Below are 22682 nucleotides of genomic sequence, written 5' to 3'. Positions count from 1 at the left end.
GCAATGGTGCGATCTTGGCTCACTGCAACCTCTGCCCCCGGGGTTCAAGCGATTCTCCTGTCTCAGCCTCCCGAGTAGCTGGGATTATAGGCACCCGCCACCACTCCCGGCTAATTTTTGTATTTTTATTAGAGACGGGGTTTCACCATGTTGACCGGGCTGGTCTCAAACTCCTGACTTCAGGTGATCCACCCGCCTCAGCCTCCCAAAGTGTTGGGATTACTGGCATGAGCCACAGGGCCCGGCTATAGCATCACTTAAACTTTGTTTCTGCCATGAATTGTTAGTTCGTAGTTAACAAAAAATAGACCACCTCATTTACGTTTCACAGTTAGCTTTGGTTTTTGTGTTTTCTTTAGGCTTGTTTTCTAATTGTTTTTAAAATTGTGAAACAGGGTCTTGTTCTGTTGCTGAGGCCAGAGTGTAGTGACACAATCTTGGCTCACTGCAGCCTCAACCTCCTGGGCTCAAGCAATCCTCCCACTTTAGCCTCCAGAGTAGCTGGGACTACAAACACTAACCACCACCGCTGGCTAATTTTTAATTTTTAGTTTTTTTTTTTTTTTTTTGAAATGGAGTTTCGCTCTGTTGCCCAGCAGGTTGGAGTGCAGTGGCATAATCTCGGTTCACTGCAACCTCCACCTCTCGGGTTCAAGCGATTCTTCTGCCTCAGCCTCGGCACACACAATCACGCCTGGCTAATTTTTAAAAAATATTTTTATTAGCGACAGGGTTTCACCATGTTGGCCAGCCTGGTTTTGAACTCCTGAACTCAAGTAATCCACCTACCTCAGCCTCCCAAAGTGCTGGGATTACAAGCGTGAGCCACCACGCCAAGCCTAATTTTTAAATTTTTTGTAGAGACCAGGTTTTCCCATGTTGTCTAGGCTGGGCTTGAACTCCTGGGCTCAAGTGATCCTCCTGTCTTGGCTTCTCAAAATGCTGGGATTACAGGCATGGCCCTTATGTCTGGCCCTTAAAGCTGCTTTTTAATAATAGCTTTATTGAAAGATAATTCACATACCATACAATTTACCCATTTAAAGTGTATCATTTGGCCGGGCATGGTGGCTCACACTTGTAATCTCAGCACTTTGGGAGGCTGAGGTGGGAGCATCGCTTGAACCCAAGAGTTTGAGACGAGCCCGAGCAACATGGCAAAACCCTGTCTCGACCAAAAATACAAAAAAATTAGCTGGGCATGGTGGTGTGTGTCTGTAGTCCTAGCTAGTCAGGAGGCTGAAGTGGGAGGATGGTTTGAGTCCGGGAGGTGGAGGGTGCAGTGAGTTGAGATTGCACCACTACACTCCAGCCTGGGCAACAGAGCCAGACCCTGTCTCTAATTAAATACATAAAGTGTATAATTCAGTGTTTTTTAATATATTCACAGAGTTGTGCAGCCATCATCACCATCAATTTTAGAAATTTTAATTACCCCAGAAGAAACCCTGTATCCATTAGCAGTCACCCCTTATTTCCCTCCAACTATCCCCACACCTGGCCCCTGGCAACCATTAATCTACTTTCTGTTTCTTTGGATTTTCATATTCTGGGCATATATATATATATGTAGAATCATCTAATATTTGTCTGGCTTCTCTCACTTAGCCTAATGGTTTCAAGGTGTATCCAGGTTGTAGCATGAATCAGCCGTTCATTCCATATTTTGGCTGATTAATGTTCCATCACATGGGTAGACTGTACTTGTTTGCCCATTCTTCTGTTGTTGATAGGCATTTGTGTTGTTGCCACCTTTTGACAATTATGAATAATTTTGCTATGAGCATCTGTGTGTGTCTTTGTATGAACAGGCTTGCATATTTTTTGATATGGGCAAATGAGAACCAGCGGCGGGGGGCTTCTGTGGTGACTTTTTTGGTGATCTTTGTGTACTCTGTATAATGATTGGCCACTCAGGCTTGGGGGCAGCACTTAACCTTACATTTCTTTCTTTTTTTTAAGATAGGGTCTCTCTCTCTGCCACTCAGGCCAGAGTGCAGTTGACGCAGAGCAGGGGAGCCCTGAAATGGAGCATAGTGTGTCCGGAACTGGTGGGTTCTTGGTCTCACTGACTTCAAGAATGAAGCTGCGGACCCTCGGGATGAGTGTCACAGTTCTTAAAGGTGGCTTGTCTGGAGTTTGTTCCTTCTGATGCTCTGATGTGTTCAGAGTTTCTTCTTTCTGGTGGGTTTGTGGTCTCACTGGCTTCAGGAGTGAAGCTGCAGACCTTCAAGGTGAGTGTTACAGCTCTTAAGGCGGTGCGTCTGGAGTTGTTTGTTCCTCCCGGTGGGTTCATAGTCTCGCTGGCTTCAGGAGTGAAGCTGCAGACCTTCGAGGTGAGTGTTACAGCTCATAAAGGCAATGTGGACCCAAAGAGTGAGCAGCAGCAACATTTATTGCAAAGAGCAAAAGAACAAAGCTTCCCCAGTGTGGAAAGGGACCCCAGAGGGTTGCCACTGCTGGCTGGGGCAGCCTACTTTTATTCCCTTATCTGGCCCCACCCACATCCTGCTGATTGGTCCATTTTACAGAGAGCCGATTGGTCTGTTTTACAGAGAGCTGATTGGTCTGTTTTGACAGGGTGCTGATTGGTGCGTTTACAATACCTGAGCTAGATACAAAAGTTCTCCAAGCCCCTACTACATTAGCTAGACACAGAGTGTCGATTGGTGCATTGACAAACCCTGAGCTGGACACAGGGTGCTGATTGGTGTGTTTACAAACCTTGAGCTAGATACAGAGTGCCGATTGGTGTATTTACAATCCCTTAGCTTGACATAAAGGTTCTCAAAGTTCCCACCAGACTCAGGAGCCCAGCTGGCTTCACCAAGTAGATCCCACACGGGGGCCGCAGGTGGAGCTGCCTGCCAGTCCTGTGTCCTGTGCTGGCACTCCTCAGCCCTTGGGTGGTCGATGGGACTGGGCGCCCTGCAGCAGGCGGCGGTGCTCATTGGGGAGGCTCGGCACTCATCAGGGAGGCTCAGGCCACGCAGGAGCCCATGGAGAGTTGGGGGGAGGCTCAGGCATGGCGGGCTGCTTGTCCCGAGCCCTGCCCTGCAGGGAAGCAGCTAAGGCCCTGCAAGAAATTGAGCAAAGCAGCTGCTGGGCCAGGTGCTAAGCCCCTCACTGCCTGGGTCCAGCGGGGCCAGCGGGCTACTCTGAGTGCGGGGCCCAGTGAGCCCATGCCCACCCGGAACTAGCGCTGGCCCGCAAGCGCCACGCCCAGCCCCAGTTCCTGCCCGCGCCTCTCCCTCTATACCTCGCCGCAAGCTGAGGGAGCTGGCTCCAGCCTCGGCCAGCTCAGGAAGGGGCTCCCACAGTTCAGCGGCGGGCTGAAGGGCTCCTCAAGTGCCGCCAAAGTGGGAGCCCAGGCAGAGGAGGTGCCGAGAGTGAGCTCCAGGGCACCAGCATGCTGTCACCTCTCAGTAGCACGTGAGGGTTCTTGTCTTTACCCAGGAAAGAATTCAAGGGCAAGCCGGAGGTTTAGAAGAAAACAGCTTTATTGAAGAGGCAGCATTACAGCCCTGTGACTGCTCCTGTAGGGCAGGGTTACCCTGGAGGCAGAGAGTAGCGGCAGAGAGTCTGCAATCACATTTATACCCACTTTTAATTGCATGCAGATTAAAGGGCAGTTTATGCAGGAATTTCTAGAAAATGGGTAGTAACCTTTGAGTCATTGGGTCATTACCCTGGAAAGGGGCAGTAACTCCCGGGTGTTGCCTTGGCAATAGTAAACTCACATGGCACACTGGTGGGCATGTCTGATGGAAAGCTGCGTCTGCCCCAGCCTTGTTTTAGCTAGTCGTCAATTAGGTCTGGTGTCCAAGCCCTGCCTGTGGAGTCAAGTCCTGCCTCCTATCTCACAGTGGCGTGATCATGGCTCACTGCAGACTCAATATTCCCGGGCTCAAGCAGTTCTCCCACTTCAGCCTCCTGAGTTGCTGGGACCACAGGCACGTGCCACTAAGCCTAGCCACATTTTTTTGTATTTTTTGTAGAGATGGTGCTTCACTGTGTTGCCTAGGCTGGTCTCAAACCCCTGGGCTCAAGAAATCTACCTACCTTAGCCTTCTAAAGTGCTGGGATTACAGGTGTGAGCCACTGCACCCAGCCCAACCTTACATTTTTAATATCAAGTCACTTCTTTCTAGATTTTGATTTCTTCTTTAAAGTGGTGGAACTAAGAGCATCTATTTTATAGGGTTTTTGGGAAGACAAAAATGAAAGAACTGCTATTTAATGTTTAGTGAAGCGCTATGCAGAAATTTGAATAATGAAGTTGGTGTTTATTTTTTATTATTTATTTATTTATTTTTTAGAGACGGGGTCTTGCTCTGTTGCTCAAGCTGGAGTGCAGTAGTGCAACCACAGCTTAGTGCAGCCTTGACTTCCTGGGCTCAAGAAATCCTGCCACCTCAGCCTCCTGAGTAGCTGGGACTACAGGCATGCATCGCCATGTCTGGCTAGTTATTTATTTGTTTGTTTTTTGTAGAGATGGGGTCTCCCTGTGTTGCCCGGGCTGGTCTTGAACTCCTGGCCTTAAGCAATCCTCCTATCTTGGCCTCCCAAAACACTGAGATTACAAGTGTGAACCACCATGGCCAGCCTTATTTGTATTTTTAATCAGCCTTATCAAGTTGAATTGGTCTTTAATCTCGTATAACAGTAATTTGGAGCAGCATTGGTTGGGCGGAGGGTGGGAAACATTTAGGACCCTGTGGGCTACAACTCGTAGTGTGTGCACTTATTTTATTTTATTTTGTTTTGTTATATTATATTATATTATATATTATATTATATTATATTATATTATATTATATTATATTATATTATATTATATTTTTTTGAGACAGGGTCTCACTCTGTTTCCCAGACTGGAGTGCAGTAGCATGATCTTGGTTCACTGCAACCTCTGCCTCCCAACTTCAAGCGATTCTCCTGCCTCGGCCTCCAGAGTAGCTGGAACTACAGATGTGCACCACCACGCCCAGCTAATTTTTGTATTTTTAGTAGAGATGGGGTTTCACCATGTTGGCCAGGCTGGTCTCAAACTCCTGACCTCAGGTGATACACCTGCCTCAGCCTCCCAAAGTGCTGGGATTATGCGCATGAGCCACCGTGCCTGGCTGTGCACTTATGTTTGATTTTTGCAGAACCACCCTTCCCTAATGGTTGTCTCCTAGATCCAAGGTGACTTTATTCATTTTAGAATGAACTTACCCCATTGATAGTGTAACCAGAGTTGGCATACATCACGATTGGCAGAACCCGGTCATGTTTAGCGATATGGAAGTGTTCTGGAAACTCCTCCTTCTTGTAGATGTGGAGGTGAGGGTACGCATTCTTCAGTGCCTGGTAAAGGGCTTCTTCTTGCCCCGATTTGGGCAGGGGCATCCCAAAGCCACCATAGCCCACAATATCAAACTTGACCCAGTCCCTGAACTTGATGTAGTTGGACAAGGGGATCTTGTTGACATTGGGTCTCTTCTTCTCGGTGGTCACCCCATGGTCTCGTGTGATGATGACGCTGAGGTGCTCTGCAGGCTGTGCTTCTCAGTGGCTCCCTCCAGATACCCGATGGTCCTGCCGATTTGCTGAATCATCAACTTCCTGTTCTCTGCCTCTGGCCCGAATCGGTGTCCCACGTTATCTGGCTCTCTGTAGCACAGAGTCACAAAGTCAAAGTCTTCCTTGGTGAACCAGTTCATGATGGTATCGATGTTCTCCCTCCGCTCTGTCTCGTTGCTGTTTGGGTGAGTGTAGGACTCCACCAGGGACCGCTTGACAGCCTCACCCTCTTATTTAGCACCTCCCTTGGAATAGTGGAATGATGCCACTTTGTTCCCCTGCAAGTACAAGAAGAAAATTCCATCGGGGCCATTTCTCATACCTTTCTCACAATCAGCAAAGCTCGAGTTGTCTATATCTGTGCCCCAGTCCAAAGGCATAGGAAATATATGGTCTTTGGAGTCAGACAGGGTGGAGTTAGATTCTGGGCTTCCCCAGGATCTAATAGCATCTACAACACTGTTAGTTACAAGATGTGCTATTATTTTATGGGCTACTAAGCAGAAAAATGCTGCCAACGAGACCTTGACATTCCAGTGATTGTAAGGTGTGTTCCAACTTCAGAGATGGCAAAATGAAAAACAGTTCCTTAGAATAGAAGGAGACGGTAATTTCTGAGTTGTTGGTGGTGAATTTGTGCATGTGTGTTTTTTATATATATACACATATATATATATACACACACATACACATGTACATGTATATATATGTGCATATGTATACATATATACACATACATGTATATATGTGTATATATACACATACATGTATATATGTGTATATATACACATACATATATACATATATATGTATACATAGTGGTGCAGGGGTACAATCATAGCTCATTGCACCCTTGAACTTCTGGGCTTAAGTGATCCTGCTACCTCAGCCTCTTCAGCAGCTGGGGCAACAGGCATGTGCAACCACACCTATTTTTTTTTTTTTTTTTTTTTTTTGAGACACAGTCTCACTCTGCAACCTCTGACTCCTGGGTTCAAGCAATTCTTGTACCTCAGCCTCCTAAGTAGCTGGGATTATAGACATGTGCGACTATGCCCAGCTAAGTTTTGTATTTTTAGTTGAGATAGAGTTTTGTCGTGTTGGCCAGGCTGGTTTTGAATTCCTGGGCTGAAGTGATCCACTTGCCTTGGCCTCCTAAAGTGCTGGGATTACTTGTGTGAGCCACGGCGCCTTGCCCTAATTTTTTTTTTTTAATATTTGTAGAGATGAGGTCTCACTAATTTGCCCAGGCTGGTCCTGAAGTCCTGGGTTCAAGTAATTCTCCTGCCTCAGCCTCTCAAAGTGCTGGGATTACAGGCATGAGACACCATGCCCGGCTGGTGGTGAGTTTTAAAATCTCCCAGTGTCTCAGTGTCTCAGTGTTTCTACCTGTAGAATCCCAAAAAGTAGATGACATCTTTGTGAGGATTAAGCAGGCTAGCTTTTTAATTTTATTTTTTATTTTTATTTTTTGGAGACAGAATTTCTCTCTTGTCACCCAGGCTGGAGTGCAATGGCGTGATCTTGGCTCACTGCAACCTCCGCCTCCTGGATTCAAGTGGTTCTCCTGCCTCAGCCTCCCAAGTAGCTGGGATTACAAAGCCAGCTAGCTTTAAGATACGGTGTTGGGCATCACATTGTGGCATGGAGCAGGCACTCTTTTCTTTGCCCCCAGGTGGGACTAAGCCACCACAAGCCTTCCCTGGTGTGTGCAGTGGGTGATGAATGCTTGCCTGCTCAGCACCCACTTCCTGGTCGGCTGGGTCACATTACTCTGACTCCTCCTTGAGCTTCAGTCCGCGCCTGGTTCAAGATTATTGACTCAACGCGAGGATCCAGAGATGGGATGTAGCTCTGGCCTGGCCAGAGGACCGAGGATGCTGCATGCCATGGCTACAGCAACTGGGTCAGCTTTGGGCTCATGTCCTAGTCAGAGCCAATGAGATGTAATCTTGGGATATCTGCTGGGCTGTTCGGAGGGGACAGGCTGCCCTGCACATCCCCATTCCTGATGCTGAGGGATCTGAGAAAATCACTTGTAAAATTTGGGGGTGTTTGGAAGAAGGGGAGATTGATGTCTCTTTCTCTCTACAGACATCTGATCAGCTACAGAGCTTGACTAACCTACCCAGAGACAGAATGATATGGTGGTTAAAAGTGTGCTCTGGGCCGAGATTTTGCCACTGCACTTCAGCCTGGGTGACAGAGTGAGACTCCATCTCAAAAAAAATAAAAAAAGTGTGCTCTGGGCTGGGCGCGGGGGCTCACAACTGTAATCCCAGCACTTTGGGAGGCTGAGGCAGGAGGATCGCTTGAAGTCAGGAGTTTGGGATCAGACCCTATCTCTAGAAAAATGTTTTTTAAAAATTAGCTGGGTTGGTGGTGAATGCGTCTAGTCCCAGCTACTCGGGAGGCTGAGGCGGGAAGACTGGTGGAGCCCGGGAGTTCAAGGCTGCACTGAGCTATGATCAGGACACTGTACTCCAATTTGAGGGACAGAGGGAGACCCCATCTCTCTGAACAACAAAAATGTGTGCTCTGGTGCCGCACTGCCTGGTTAGATCCTTTGTCCACCACTTAGATGCATGTTATATAAATGCTCTACTCAGTTTCCTCATGTGTAACTTGGGGATGACAATGCTGCCCCATGAAGTGGTTGTGGGGACTAAATGCATGTGGACACATTGGTAAGTATTCAACAAGCTTGATTTCTCCTGGAGAGGGTGAAAGAGCGTGCAGTGAAGTGGCGTGGTCAGGTGCATTGGGACAAGTATTATTTCCTCTGGCTTCTGCCTCCTGGGAGGTACAAAGGAGGGATCTGAAATGTGTCTGCAGACCCCAGAGTTGGGGACTGCAGAGGGAAATTGAGATCAGGGACTGTAGTCTGGCAGAAATGAGTGCAGCATGGGGCATTGTGTTCCTTCCATCAGAGGCATGGGGTGTGTTGCAGACAGTCATGAAATGTGACTGAATCTTGCAAGGGACCCTCGGTCCTAGGGTTGCCGCTTGAGACAAAGACCCCTATCAGTGGAACCTGGTGACCTTCACCCTTCTCTGTCAGGCTGCAGACAGCAAGAGATGGCAGCAGATTACACCCAGCAGGAAAAGGGCCGTTGCTATCCCACAGGTTGCCATAGGAGGAGATGACATCTCTCCCTCTCCTCCTCCAGCAGTGTCAGCTGGGGAAGAGGTGGGTGGGTGTGCACAAAAGAGTAGACCACAGAGCATGCTCCTTCTCCTCCAGTCTGCTGGGGCCCCCAGAGAGTCTGCAGCCCTTGGCCAGGGACCGGCTGACACAGGAGAACAAAAGACCTTAGGTTGGGATAACATGGTGGTGCAGTTGATCCTCTGGAGCTCCCTGTGAGATCAGACTGGAGCCAGTCTCCTGCTGAGACCACATCTCACTTAGCTCGTTCCCTGCCATATCCTGTTTTCCTTACTCCTATCTCCTGAGAGTTCTTCCTGAATGAATTACATGCACTCAATCCCTGCCTCAGGCTCTGCTTTTAGGGAACTTGACCTAAGACAGAAATCTTAGTACTAAATAATTTGCAAGGCCTCAGAAGCTCTGCTATCCACAAGCAGGTGAGATATTACCTTCCCTACCACCTGGCAGTCATAGTCTATGATGCGATTCAGCTTTATGGAAGTGCTTCTCTAAAGAACATCCCCCAATTTAAAACGATCTTAATTTACTTACTTGTTTACTGTCCATTTAGCTGCTCTAAAATGTGAGCTCCAAATCAGGGGCCATGTCTGGTTGCTTACTCATTTTCTGAGACCTAGAATGGGCCTAGCTCAGAGCAGGTGCTCACTATTGATGGAATGCATGTTGAAAGAATGCATGAATCTCATCTCTTTTTGTGGGCGAAAAACTCATCCTATTCTCACCCTGATTAACTTTCTTTCTTTCTTTATTTTTTTTTTCAAAATGGAGCCATGATCTGTCACCCAGGCTGGAGTGCAATGGTGTGATCTCAGCTAGCTGCAACCTCTGCCTTCTGGATTAAACCAATTCTCCTGCCTCAGCCTCCTGGGTAGCTGGGATTACAGGTGTATACCACCACGCCTGGCTAATTTTTTGGATTTTTAATAGAGACAGTGTTTCACCATGTTGGCCAGGCTGGTCTCGAACTCCTGACCTCGTGATCCGCCCTCTTTGGCCTCCCAAAGTCCTGGGATTACAGGCATGAGCCACCGTACCCAGCCACTCTTGATTAACTTAATGGAAATATTTACAGAGATTCTTTCTCTTCTGGGTTCTAGCGTCTTATCTGTAACCTCTGCAGGTAATACATTTTCCTTCCTGATGATAGAATTTCTGTGGTTGCTTTCACTTGCAAATCCTCTAATACTTATTTATTCCATTTCTGATTGGCATTAGACATAATTCTCAATTTTTAGTGACAGCACTTCGTTTAACTTACATATAAATTGACTTTGCCTTGAAATGTGACATTGACTAGAAGGATGAAACTTCTAACATGCTGTAGAACATAGTTTGACTGGCTAACTTATTATTTAGAAGAAGCTAATATTGTCATTATGAGGGACTTAGGTGACTTTGAAGAACCAGTTGGATTTCTAATGTTGCAATGTTAAATCACAGATATTGCCAACGCGAAATAATTTCCATATGCTGTGTTCTCAATACACTCCTTTTCCAAAGATATCCCAAGCTGTAGTCTTATAAAACTGATTTTTTTTATTTGTTCTCACAGGAATTTGGGGAGCTATGCGGGATCTCCATAAAATGAGCTCCAGAAAGACATGTGCGCACACACACACACACACACACACACACACACTCACATATGTACCACACCACAATTGACTCTGTTTATTTGGGACCCATGATTATCCGAAGTGCTATTTTTAACAAATACTTCTGAGAAATAATCTGAACACTTAATTGGATGCAAAACAGTGGGTATTTACTATTCTACACTTTAATTAGCATAATCAGTGTTTCCAGCAGCAAAAGCAATTGGAAAATCGCTAGTTTTATTAGGTTCATTATTCTCCCTTAGCGTAGTGTGGCATCAGCATGGCTATTATTCTTAAATTGCCTCTTTAAAACAAGAGCTGGTGCTTCTTACAGGCAATTCCTAACTCTTGGGTTTTGTAGAGGGTCCAAAACTCTTTAGAACCTATAATTCAAGGAAAGGCTCCACTTTGGTTTTGCATTTTGTCTGGTCTCTTTGGGTGACAGAATTTATGTCACAAGGTGCACATGTTTTGGGGAGGCTCATGGACAGCCCGTCGCGCTTCTGCTTTGGTAGGAAGTACGTGCCGTTAAGGGGAAGGAGTTAGTTACTCAACTAGGGAACAATTGGGTAGAAAGAGATGGACGCCCTGTATTTGAAATTCAGAACTCAAGCTTGGCTCTAAGTGTTTCCTTGCTTTGCTGTGCTCCAGGGGAGTCACTGAGCAGAAGGAAGCGAGTTGCCTGAGATTCCTCAAAGCCCGCAGCCCTTTTGGAGGTTACATTGTTATTCTCAGAGCCTTTATGATGCATAATAAAGACCCAGCTTGGACCAATATTAGGATGAGTTATCTTTCTATTAACATTCTTTTAGGTAGAAGTTGCTTTTAGGTAGAAGTTGGTCCCATCTTGCTCACAATCCTCCAAAGTTTGGAAGTTACTTTCCAGGAGACTTAGCTTGCACTGAGAGCTGCCCTCCCACCCTCTCTCCAAATTTCCTCTTGGGGGTAGCCTAACAAGGTGCTGTCACAGACCCTTACCAGCCACGAAGACCCCACCCAGACCATCCCTCTGCTGTTTCACTCTTTGATATTCTCTGGAGCTCTCTGGGGAGGTGCGAGACCTGCTGTCTGGTTTGTACGGTTTGACCAGGTCTTACACTCATGGCTGGCTGTCTCTCTCTGAGAACTGGGACTCCTGAACTTGGTGAAATACCTCAGCCATTGATCATGTTAAATTATCGGGAACACTCATTTAAAATCCGAGTCTGCTCCAGATGGACTCTCTCTCTTTCTGCCCTGACCATGAGAGAGAGAGATCGTGAGAGAGAGAGACCGTGAGAGAGAGAGAGAGAGAGAGAGAGAGAGAGAGAGAGAGAGAGAGAGAGAGAGACTGTGCCCTGACCTGCTGGACAGTGGAGATGCTCGTGGGCTGTGAGCAAGGGATGCAAAGGCTGCCGGGAATCCCATCTTTCCAGCATCATCTGCCAAGGCACATCAGTTCCTGGGTGTCTTGATGGGTTCTGGCAGCATTACTGTCATTGAAGGAAAACATTTTAGCCATATTAAAGGTGAATGCAGCAATCTCCACACAGGCTTCCTGGAAGGGACGCGGGACAAGGGTAGGTTTTCCCTGTGATGGACAGGAGGCAGGCGGCCTTCCCACAGCCCTGCCTGGCAAAGCAGATGTGTCCCCAAAAGGCACTGGGGGCAGCTGGAGTGCTGTGCCAAGGCGGGCTCACACGGGCCCTGGGTTGGCTCTGATTGCAGCGGTTTCCCGCCAGCTCCTTGGAGAGCTGGCAGATGACCCAGCCCCACAGCAGGAGCTGTGAATGGCAGAACGAGATGCAACAATTTGATATCCACTTGGCAGATGAGCCGGGTGTCGTCAGTCGCCTGGCTCTGCGCCAACCTCTTTTTGCATAAACACTTATGAATTCAGCCAGGAGGAAAAGCACTCTGATTATGAATTGAGCAGAAGGAAACAAAGTTCTGCAGATAAACACCAATGAGACAAAAAAACACGAATAAGAAAAATGACAGAAAAGGAGAACCTTCCCAGAAGCCTCCTGCCAGTGAACGGCCACCGTAGCAAGAGCTTGGAGGCCCTGGGTTTTGAACTGTGAGATAAGGAAGATGATGAAAACCTCCCTAGCAGCCAGGCAAGCACAAGATTCCTGTGAAATCCAGGTCTAAGTGTTTTGACCACAGAAGTAATATTATGTCATAGGTGAGAGCTGTGAGTTGCTGAACCTGAAGTGAGTTCAAATCCGAACTCTGCCTCCTGCTACCTGTGCGACTTTGAGAAGTTCCAGCACCGCTTTGTGCCTCAGTTTTGTCATCTGTTAAATGGGCATAATTACAGCTCCTGCCTCAGAGTTGTTGTAAATTAATAGAGGTAAAGCACTGAAATCAGCCTGGTATACAGTAAGTGTTATGAACGTTATTTTCTTGGAAGGACATAACTTATTTTCATGGTCTCGGCCTGAAAGTCTAAAAAATGTGAGAGAAGAGGAAAGAATCTAGAGTCTCACCATGAGGGAGAAAAGTCAACTTGAAGCAGGACAGGGTCATTGACAATTTCCTGTGATTCTACAGCTGCCTTGTACACTATGGTAGTTCCTATCCACTTGTTTAGATTTCGTGATTTAGAAATGAATTAAGGGCATGCATGGTGGCTCACAACTGTAATCCCAGCATTTTGGGAGGCCAAGATGGGCAGATCACCTGAGGTCAGGCGTTCAAGATCAGCCTGGCCAACGTGGTGAAATCTCGTCTCTACAAAAATACAAAAATTAGCCGGGCATGATGGCGGGTTCCTGTAATCCTGGCTACTCAGGAGGCTGAGGCAAGAGAATTGCTTGAACCCAGGAGATGGAGGTTGCAGTGAGACGAGATTGCACCACTGCACTCCAGCCTGGAGGATAGAGTGAGACTCTGTCTGAAAAAAAAAAAAAATAGTTAAGAGAAAATTGAAAATTCAGTTCTTCATTCTCACCAGCCACATTTCAAGGGCTCAACAGCCCATGTGGGTGGCTAGCAGCTCCCATGTTGGACAGTGCAGAGTGGAGCAAGCCCGCCATTGCAGAATGTTTGATTGGACAGTGACTGAATAGTCTAGTGTAGTGGTGCCCAATTTTTTTAGCACCAAGGACCAGTTTCCATGTATTTGTGGGGGGAAGTTTCAGTATGATTCAAGTGCATTACATTTATTGTGTACTTCATTTCTATTGTTATGAACATTTTAATATATAATGAAATCATTATACAACTCACCATAATGTAGAATCAGTGGGAGCCCTGAGCTTGTTTTCCTGCAACTAGATAATCCCATCTCCGGGTGGTGGGAGACAGTGACAGATCATCAGGCATTAGATTCTCATAAGGAGCACACAACCTAGATCCCTTCCACATGCAGTTCACAATAGGGTTGGTGCTCCTATGAGAATCTAATGCCACTGCTGATCTGACAGGAGACAGAGCTCAGGTGGTAACGCTAGCCATGGGGAGCAGCTGTAAATACAGATGAAGCTTCACTCGCTAGCCCACTGCTCACCTCCTTCTGTGCAGCCCAGTTCCTAACAGGCCACAGACCGCTACTGGTCTGTTGTCTGGGGGATGGGGACCTCTGGTCTTTTGGATAACACTGGCTTGGAGTGTACTGATCAGCCAAAGAAGCACTGAGATGATTTGTCCTCCATTAATAAGAATGATGGACTTTTTTTTTGTTTGAGACAGAGTTTTGCTCTTGTTGCCCATGCTGAAGTGCAGTGGCACCATCTTGGCTCACTGCAAACTCTGCCCCCCAGGTTCAAGAGATTCTCTTGCCTCAGCCTCCCAAGTAGTTGGGATTACAGGTGCCTGCCACCATGCCTGGCTAATTTTTGTGTTTTTAGTAGAGTCAGGGTTTTGCCATGTTGACCAGGCTGGTCTTGAATTCCTGACCTCAAGTGATCCACCTGCCTCGGTCTCCCGAAGTGCTGGGATTACAGGCGTGAGACACCGTACCTGGCCAGATGGACTTTTTTGGAGCATTTAGTTCCAAGCACCTTCCCTGCATTTTCTCAGTTAATCCTCCCAGTGACTCTTTGAAGCAGGGACTATGACAATCGTCATTTCACAGATGGAGCAACTGAGGCACAGAGAGGAAGTCAATGGCCACGGTCGCCCAGCTGAGGAAGGATGGATCCGGCTGAGATCCTGTTCTGGGGACCTAACTCTGCAGCCTGCATTCTGGGCTGCTGTATTCTCCCATGTTGCTATCTGACGAGCACAGCATGGGCTCAGAGTACAGAGAGGAGGCACCAGCTAATAAGGAGAGGTCTGGGGTGAAGGCTGGTGCCTTGGGGAAGAAGAGAGAGGTCCCATTCTAAAGGGATGGCATTGGGAGTTCATAGTGATAAAGCAAAGCCAACAGGTTTTGGGGCTGGGAGTTAAACATACAGCTCTGGTTTCTGCCTTTTCACAGTGGTGATGAATAGGCACTGAGACCCTCTCGAGCTAAAGTTGTCATCATTGCTCTTCATAGTCTGAAGGTGCATGAAATGGTCAACTTTCTTCCAAAGGGCTTTTATGCCTAAGTCTGTGGTTAGTGTATAAACAGATATTTACTGAAGTCCTGCTGGGTGCAGACACTGTGGCCAGCCCTGAGGCTACAGTCGAGATGAAGCCAGTCTCTGTCCTCATGGAGACCTGTCTATTGATAAGAAAACAGAAAGCTCACTGAGCATTGACCCTGTGCCCACTGCTTTTGATGCATCTCTCATTTCATCCTTCTATCAAATCTGTGAAATAAACACATCACCATCATCCCTATTTCACATTTAGGGAAACATGCTTAGAGAGGGTAAGTAACTTGTTCAAGGTCACACAGCTTCAAACTCTCATCCCACAGGCGCAGGAATGGGAGGCAGCAGCTGTGGAAGCCAGGGTCTCTGGCAGTCCTTGTCTCTGGGCGGTGATCCAGAAAGAGAGAGAACACGATTGTCTCAGCACTGGGTCTTCTTCTGAGTCATCTTGAAGGAGCAATTCCAGAGCGTCTCGGTGTTAAACATCATGTTGTGAATGACTCAGTGATCTCTGACCCAGAGACCTTGGGGATAAAGGAGGGGAGGTACGGAGAAGCTCTTCGAATGGATGTTACCGGCGTGTCAGTGTTCTTTGAGGCCACAGGCTATGTGTCACCAAATTGAAGGGGTGGCCTGCCCCTCCACACCTGTGGGTATTTCTAGTCGGGTGGGATGAGAGACAGAGAAAAGAAATAAGACACAGAGACAAAGTACAGGGAAACAACAGTGGGTCCAGGGGACTGGCACTCAGCACACCAGGACCTGCACGAGCACTGGCCTCTGAGTTCCCTCAGTTTTTATTGATTATGATTTTCATTATTTCAGCAAAAAGGAATGTAATAGGAGAGCAGGGTGATAATAAGCAGAATGTCAACAAAAAACATGTGAGCAAAATAATCTATATCATAATTAAGTTCAAGGGAAGGTATATGACTGGACTTGCATGTAGTCGACATTTATGTTTCTCTCCACCCAAACATCTCAGTGGAGTAAAGAATAACATGGCAGCATTACTGCAACATGTCTCGCCTCCCGCCACAGGGCAGCTTTTATCCTAGCTCAGACTTGAACAAATGTACAATCGGGTTTACACCGAGACATTCAATTCCCAGGGGCAAGCAGGAGACAGTGGCCTTCCTCCATCTCAACTGCAAGAGGCTTTCCTCTTTTACTAATCCGCCTCAGCACAGACCCTTTACGGGTGTCAGGCTGGGGGACAGTCAGGTCTTTCTCATTCCATGAGGCCATATTTCAGACTATCACATGGGGAGAAACCTTGGACAAAACCCTGCTTTCAAGGGCAGGGCTCCCTGCGGCTCTCCACTGTGCATTGTGCCCCTGGTTTATTGTGACTAGAGAATGGCAATGACTTTTACCAACTTTACTGCTTGTAAACATTTGGTTAACAAGGCACGTCCTGCACAGCCCTAGATCCCTTAAACCTTGATTTTAGACAACACATGTTTTTGTGAACTCCAAGTTGGGTCAAAGTGACTGGGGCAAAGTGGCTGGGGCAAAGCTACAAATGAACAACATCTCAGCAAAGCAATTGTTAGAGTACAGGTCTTTTTCAAAGTGGAGTCTCTTATGTCTTCCCTTTCTACATAGACACAGTGACAGTCTGATCTCTCTCTTTTCCCTACATTTCCCCCTTTTCTTTTTAACAAAACCGCCATCGTCATCATGGCCCCTTCTCACTGGTCGCTGTCTCTCCGGAGCTGCTGGATACACCTGTAGACTAACAATAGAGAGGACAGACATACAAAAATTAATACAAAATTTGCAATAGTGGAATTTCCAATGGTTTTAACCCAAGTGACAGGGTTAAGATTTGTGAGGCTATCAACAGCTTTTACCATTGCCTCCGTTTCTGACACCAGATTTAACTGGGCTTTTGAGGTTTCAAAAATTTGTTCTTTCAATTTAGAAATATCTAAGGTAAGATTATCTTCTCTTCCTTGTAGATGGCGTCTAACCATGTCCCAGTGATGTTCAGGTTCATTATAGGCTCAAGGTTTAATACAAAAATCTGACGTATTCCAGTCACACTGTAACTGAAAAAGATATTCTAAGCTCATGAGCCTATCTCCCATCCAAATAACAGTTTGTCTAAGATCATTAATTTGATTTGCCAATTTTTGATCTATTTGAGTCTGAGAATTCCACAATTTTGAGGAATTCTTTTGCCAATTATTCACATATTCTGCAGTTTGAACAGAGGAGTGTAAAGAAATTCCAGCAGCCGCAGCAGTAGCTGTGACTGCAATAAGACCCACAATCACTGCAATCAAAGTAAAAATGGATCTTTTAGATCTAGTTAGAACTCCTTTTAATACTTAAGATATGTACGGATGGAGAAGCGTCCCATGGTCGATCCATGGACAAAGGGATCCACACGCCTTCTCTTGCCCTTACTAACAGAATACCATTCTACCAATCAAAAGTTGAATCAATGCAAGTAAACAATCTACAATTTTCACTGCTTGTAGTTTGGGAATCTGGTTTAATAGCTATGTTTCCTACAACTAGCATATAAGGGGGTTTTACACAACTTTGCAAAGGAATTTTCAGATTGTAATTTAGGTTAATAGTATAATATGGCTTATGGTTTCTTGTTCCCATAACTTGATTTCCAGACAAAATTCTAATGTGGTACGAGGCCACAGTGAGCTTCCATAATTCTGGGTGTTCAGGACCAACAACAGGACTAACTAACTTTGGTCGGGGTGATGAAATCCTCTTTTCACCCCATTTCCATGGATAGGGTGATTCTCACCTTCTATAAACCTAGTCTAGCCTTTTAGTTAAATCACTATCATAGGCCGGATTAGTGGGCCAGGCAGATGGAGCCTGTGAACATGAGTGGGTCTGGCCCATAGAGTCATAATATAATTGGCCTCGAGGGGCCTAGTCTATAATAGTTCCAAATTTATTGTTTTGTAGTACCACTGCAGTATCAGCCACACATTCTTCCCAAACTAAGACTTCTGGGTCTTTTGATTCTTTTGGAATTTCCTTGGGGCATGGTTTCCTTTAGGCCTAAATTTTAATGATCTTTGATAGGAAGAATTCTGTAAATGATTCATTTGTGACCCGAGTGACATTCCACTTATCATATGATAAGTAAATTTACTGGTGGCACTGACAGTAGGTACTTCTATCAACCAATTTTGGATTGTAGGCATTAAGCATCCTGGTGCTTTTCCCAGGCAAATAGGAGGATAATGATACCCAATGGAAATGTTTATCATCATTCCTTCTTCTTCAGGTTGGGCAGGGCCACGGTCATCTGTGGGGCCTGGTACCCATTCACTGTTATTAACATATACTTTAATAGGATTATCTATCCAAGTGACTGCCCGAATTAAGGGTGGGAAAATCACATAGGCCCAGTAAGTATAGTTAGCTGTAGCGGCTCCTGAAGACATAGGGAGACTTAACCACCGTTGATACAATCATTAAAGCTGCAAGAAGCATATTCTCTGGAGTCTGTGTTACCCTTGTGTTTTCCAGGCTTTTTTCAGCTAACTGTGTCAGCTTCTTTAGCTGGGCCCAGGTCGGCGGCCCCACTTTCTTGGTGGATGGCAACTTCATCTGTCCTTCTGATATCACCATTTTGTTCACCCTGCGAGTCGTTGATGTTCGATTGCGGGTTCTCTGTCTCTGCGGAGGCGCCTTCCCTTGCATCTCTGATGGGTTCATTATAGAACTTCAAATGTCTAGTGGGTAGCCAAACAGGAAGCTGATTTTCTCCTGGTGAAACACAAGCAAAACCTCCCCCCCATGTTATCACCTTACCTATTTCCCATGTTTTATTTTGTTGTCTTTCCACCAAATCAGTTTTCCCTCATGTGGGCTGTTCTTTTTACCAGTAAAATGTTGTTCTGCAGAAGTAATGGTCTGATTTCTATATATATTTAAAAAATTTAAAGTATAGAGTGCTAGATTAAGTTGCATCTGGGGAGTGTTATATTCCTTACTTTTTCCTTTTTTTGTTTAACCAATTGAGCTTCGAGTGTTCTATTAGTTGTTTCCATTATAGCCTGTCCTTGGAAATTAGGGATTCCTGTTGTATGTGTAATTTTCCACTGATTTAAGAATTTTTGAAATGCTTTACTACAGTATCCTGGCCCATTATCTGTTTTAATTTTTTCTGGAAATCCACTGACTGCAAAACAAGATAATAAATGTCTTTTAACATGGGAAGTACTTTCTCCTGTCTGGCAGGTTGCGCATATGAAATGTGAATAAGTATCAACTGTCACATGGACAAGTGACAATTTTCCAAATGAAGGTACATGTGTGACGTTCATTTGCCATAATGCATCAGGACTTAAACCTCTAGGATTAACTCCTGCCTCTTGAGCGGGCAGGTGTAAGACTTGACACTGAGCATAATGTTGTACAACATTTTTTGCTTGTTTCCATGTGATATCAAATTTGTTTTTTAATCCTGTTGCATTTACATGAGTCAGGGCCTGAAGTTCTTGTGCTTCCATGAAGGCAGATGATACTAGCAAGTCAGCTTGTTCATTTGCCTTAGTTAAAGGCCCTGGTAAATTAGTATGTGCTCGGATATGAGCCATATAAAATGGGAAATTTCTTTTTCTTACAGTTTGTTGTAACAATTTAAACAGCTGATTTAACTGATCATCCACACTATATTTGATTAGGGCTGTCTCAACATCCTTTGTAACCTGTACTACATATGCAGAATCTGAAACAATGTTAATAGACTGATTAAAATCTTGTAACACTGAAATGACAGCAACCAATTCTGCTCTTTGAGCTGAGTGATATTGAGTTTCAATAACTTGTTCTTTTGGTCCAGTGTAAGCCACTTTTCCATTGCTGGAACCATCAGTAAACACCGTCAGAGCATTTTCTAGAGGTTTTTGTCTGGTAATTTTAGGTAAAATCCAAGTAGTCAATTTCAAAAACTGGAAGATTTTTGCTTTTGGTTAATGATTATCAATAATTCCCACAAAATCAGCAAGACCAATCTGCCCTGCACCAGAATTGATAAAGGCTTGTCTAACCTGCTCCTTGTTTAAAGAAACAATGATTTTATCTGGGTCATTTCCACACAATTTTACTATTCATAGTCTTGCCTGACCAATTAATGTAGCCATTTGATCTAAGTACAATGTAAAAGTCTTAACTGTACTGTGAGGAAGGAATGACCACTCCTCAAGATCTGTATTTTGAACAATAATGCCTGTTGGAGAATGTGCAGTAGCAAAAATGAAAAGTTGGAGTGGGGCTAAGTGATCTATTCTATTTACTTTTGCTGACTGAATTTTTTCTTCAACTAATTCAATTTCTTTAGTTGCCCCTGGAGTTAATGTTCTTTTACTATTTAAGTCTGGATCCCCTCTCAAGATAGAGAACAAAGTTGACATGGGATAAGTACGGATGCCTAGAGTTGGCCGAATCCAATTAATATCTCCTAGCAATTTTTGAAAGTCATTTAATGTTCTTAATGTGTCTTTTCTTATTTCTACTTTTTGTGGTTTAATTTTTCTCTCCTCTACCTGCATTCCCAAATAATGAAAAGGAGTGGAGGTCTGAATCTTATCAGATGCTATTGTCAGGCCTGCGTTTGCAACCTCTGTCTGCAGAAATGTGTAACAGTCAATTAATTTGTCTCTTGTTTCTGAAGCACACAAAATATCATCAACATAATGAATGATATAACAGTCTGAAAACTTGTCTCTAACTGGTTGAAGAACTTGAGCTACAAAAGTCTGACAAATAGTTGGACTATTAAGCATTCCCTGGGGCAACACTTTCCACAGAAATCTAGTGGCTGGTTCTTTAATATTTATGGCTGGTATAGTAAAAGCAAATTTTTCAAAATCCTGTTTTGCCAGAGGAATGGTAAAAAAGCAATACTTCAGATCAACTGTAATTAAAGGCCAATCTTTGGGGATGATGGCTGGACAGGGCAGCCCAGGTTGGAGAGACCCCATGGGTTGAATTACTGCATTAACAGCTCTTAAATCAGTTAACATGCGCCATCTGCCTGATTTTTTTCTGAATTACAAACACAGGAAAATTCCAAGGCGAAAATGAATGCTCAATATGTCCCTTTTCTAATTGTTCTTTTGCCAATAAGTGTAAGGCCTCCAGCTTTTGTTTTGGCAGTGACCACTGACTTACCCATAAAGGCATTTCTGTTTTCCAAGTTACTGGAATGGGTTTTGGAGGCTCTACAGTGACCACCCCTAAAAAGGAAACCCTAGTCCTTTTCTTTCTGGATTTCCCTTAGCCTCAATTGGAATTTTAATGCCTTCTCCATTTTTCCCTAGTCCTTTGCCAGGGAGATATCCCATTTTAGTCATGATTTTTTGACTCGTGGGGCTGTATAGAGAGACTGGAATAGTAATCTCTGCATGCCACTGTTCTAATAAGTCTCGACCCCATAAATTAATTAGAATAGAAGTAATCATAGGCTGAACTGTAGTCTCTTGATTATCAGGTCCTAGACAATGTAAAATCCTGGCACTTTGATACACTTCTGAGGCAGTGCCCACACCAACAAATCCTGTAACAGGCTTTTGTTTAGGCTGATTTTTTTGCCATTGATTTAAGGCAATGATGGAAACATCAGCCCCAGTATCCACTAATCCTTCAAACTGTTTTCCCTGAATAGTAACTGTACACACAGGTCTATTCTCTGAGAGCTGACTAGCCCAATAAACAGCTTTTCCAGCAGTGTTGGTACTTCCAAACACTCCTGTTTCTGTTTTGCTATCCCCAATTTTAATATAAGGCAAGAGCAGTAATTGAGCAATTCTATCACCTGGATTGGCACTCCAGGGAACAGTAGAGCTGATCACTAACTGAATTTCCCCTTTATAATCTGAGTCAATTACCCCAGTATGAATTTGAACTCCTTTCAAATTTAGACTAGATCTTCCTAAAATAAGGCCTACCATCCCTTCTGGCAGCGGCCCATATACCCCTGTAGGAATCTTTTGAGGGGGCTCTCCAGGGAGTAAAGAAATCATTTGAGTAGAACATAAATCTACGGCAGCACTGCCTGCTGTGGCAGGGGATAATTGTCGTATTGTAATTGGCTGATTTCCTGAAATGGTGGTATTTACTGTGGGGGTTGTTGTCCCTGAAAACCCTGAGGAACAAATGGCTGAATCGGGAATGCCCCACTTTGTTGCGGGGCCTGGGGCTGACCCCTCTTCCCCGTTTCCCGACAATGGTTGTCCATTTTTATCAAATTTAGAACGACATTCCTTAGCCCAGTGTTTTCCTTTTCCACATCTTGGACACAGGCCAGGTGGCTCTATTTTTTTTTTTTTTGCTCTGTTTATTTAAGCCTGGGCAATTCTTTTTTAGATGACCGATTTGACCACAATTATAACATTTTCCCCCAAATGTTTTAACTTGTCCTCCTAAAGCAACCCCTGTAATTGCTTGAGCCAATAGCATTGCCTTATGCATAGCTCCTCCAATCCCATCACAAGCCTTCACATATTCTGTAATTACATCAACTCCTGCTGAAACCTTTTCTCTTAATGGCTTTATGGCTGATTGACACTCTGGATTTGCGTTTTGATAAGCCATTGTTTCTACAATAACTTTTCGGGCGTTATTACCTGCAATGGATTTTTGAGCCGCATCTTGCAACCTTGCCACGAAGTCTGGATATGGCTCTTTAGAGCCTTGTCTGATTGAACTAAAAGAAGGGCATGAGGTTCCTGGGTCCTGAATCTTTTCCCAGGCCCTGAGGCAAATAGCCCTTAGTTGTTCAATAGCCTGATTTTCATTACTGATTGTTGGTTAGTAGTGCCCCAATTTGGACCTGTTCTTAGCAATTGGTCT

General features: G+C 45.0%; 2 long non-coding RNA genes and 1 pseudogene across 7 annotated transcripts in view, besides 1 other annotated feature; 2 read left to right on the top strand and 1 right to left on the bottom strand.

Moving 5' to 3' along the window:
• LOC105369250 (uncharacterized) overlaps nt 1–22682 on the top strand; it is a 117941-nt gene that overhangs the window by 5686 nt on the left and 89573 nt on the right. The window contains exon 3 of one of the 6 annotated variants that reach the window (XR_001741584.3): nt 15167–19046. The exons of 2 other annotated variants lie outside the window; for them this stretch is intronic. This is a non-coding gene — a long non-coding RNA (uncharacterized LOC105369250). Of the gene's footprint in view, nt 1–1962; nt 4347–15166; nt 19047–22682 lie in introns of those variants that run through there. 3 more of the 6 variants (XR_001741583.3, XR_001741580.3, XR_001741581.3) reach the window with 3 other exon arrangements.
• ENPP7P10 (ectonucleotide pyrophosphatase/phosphodiesterase 7 pseudogene 10) overlaps nt 5221–22682 on the bottom strand; it is a 62651-nt pseudogene continuing 45189 nt past the window's right edge.
• On the top strand, nt 9703–11109 carry LOC124900663 (uncharacterized). Its single transcript, XR_007058023.1, has 2 exons — nt 9703–9857; nt 10987–11109. It is a non-coding gene; the product is annotated as an uncharacterized LOC124900663 (long non-coding RNA).
• Nucleotides 11383–11882: an enhancer, noted in NCBI's record as "H3K4me1 hESC enhancer chr4:9136673-9137172 (GRCh37/hg19 assembly coordinates)". NCBI's record gives its function as "activates a minimal SCP1, AML or CMV promoter by ChIP-STARR-seq in primed H9 embryonic stem cells {active_cell/tissue: H9 hESC(primed)}" and the evidence as "EXISTENCE:reporter gene assay evidence [ECO:0000049][PMID:30033119]".

This window comes from Homo sapiens, chromosome 4 (assembly GCF_000001405.40).
Source record: "Homo sapiens chromosome 4, GRCh38.p14 Primary Assembly".
NCBI lineage: Eukaryota > Metazoa > Chordata > Mammalia > Primates > Hominidae > Homo > Homo sapiens.
This window is presented reverse-complemented; position numbering and strand designations above follow the sequence as displayed.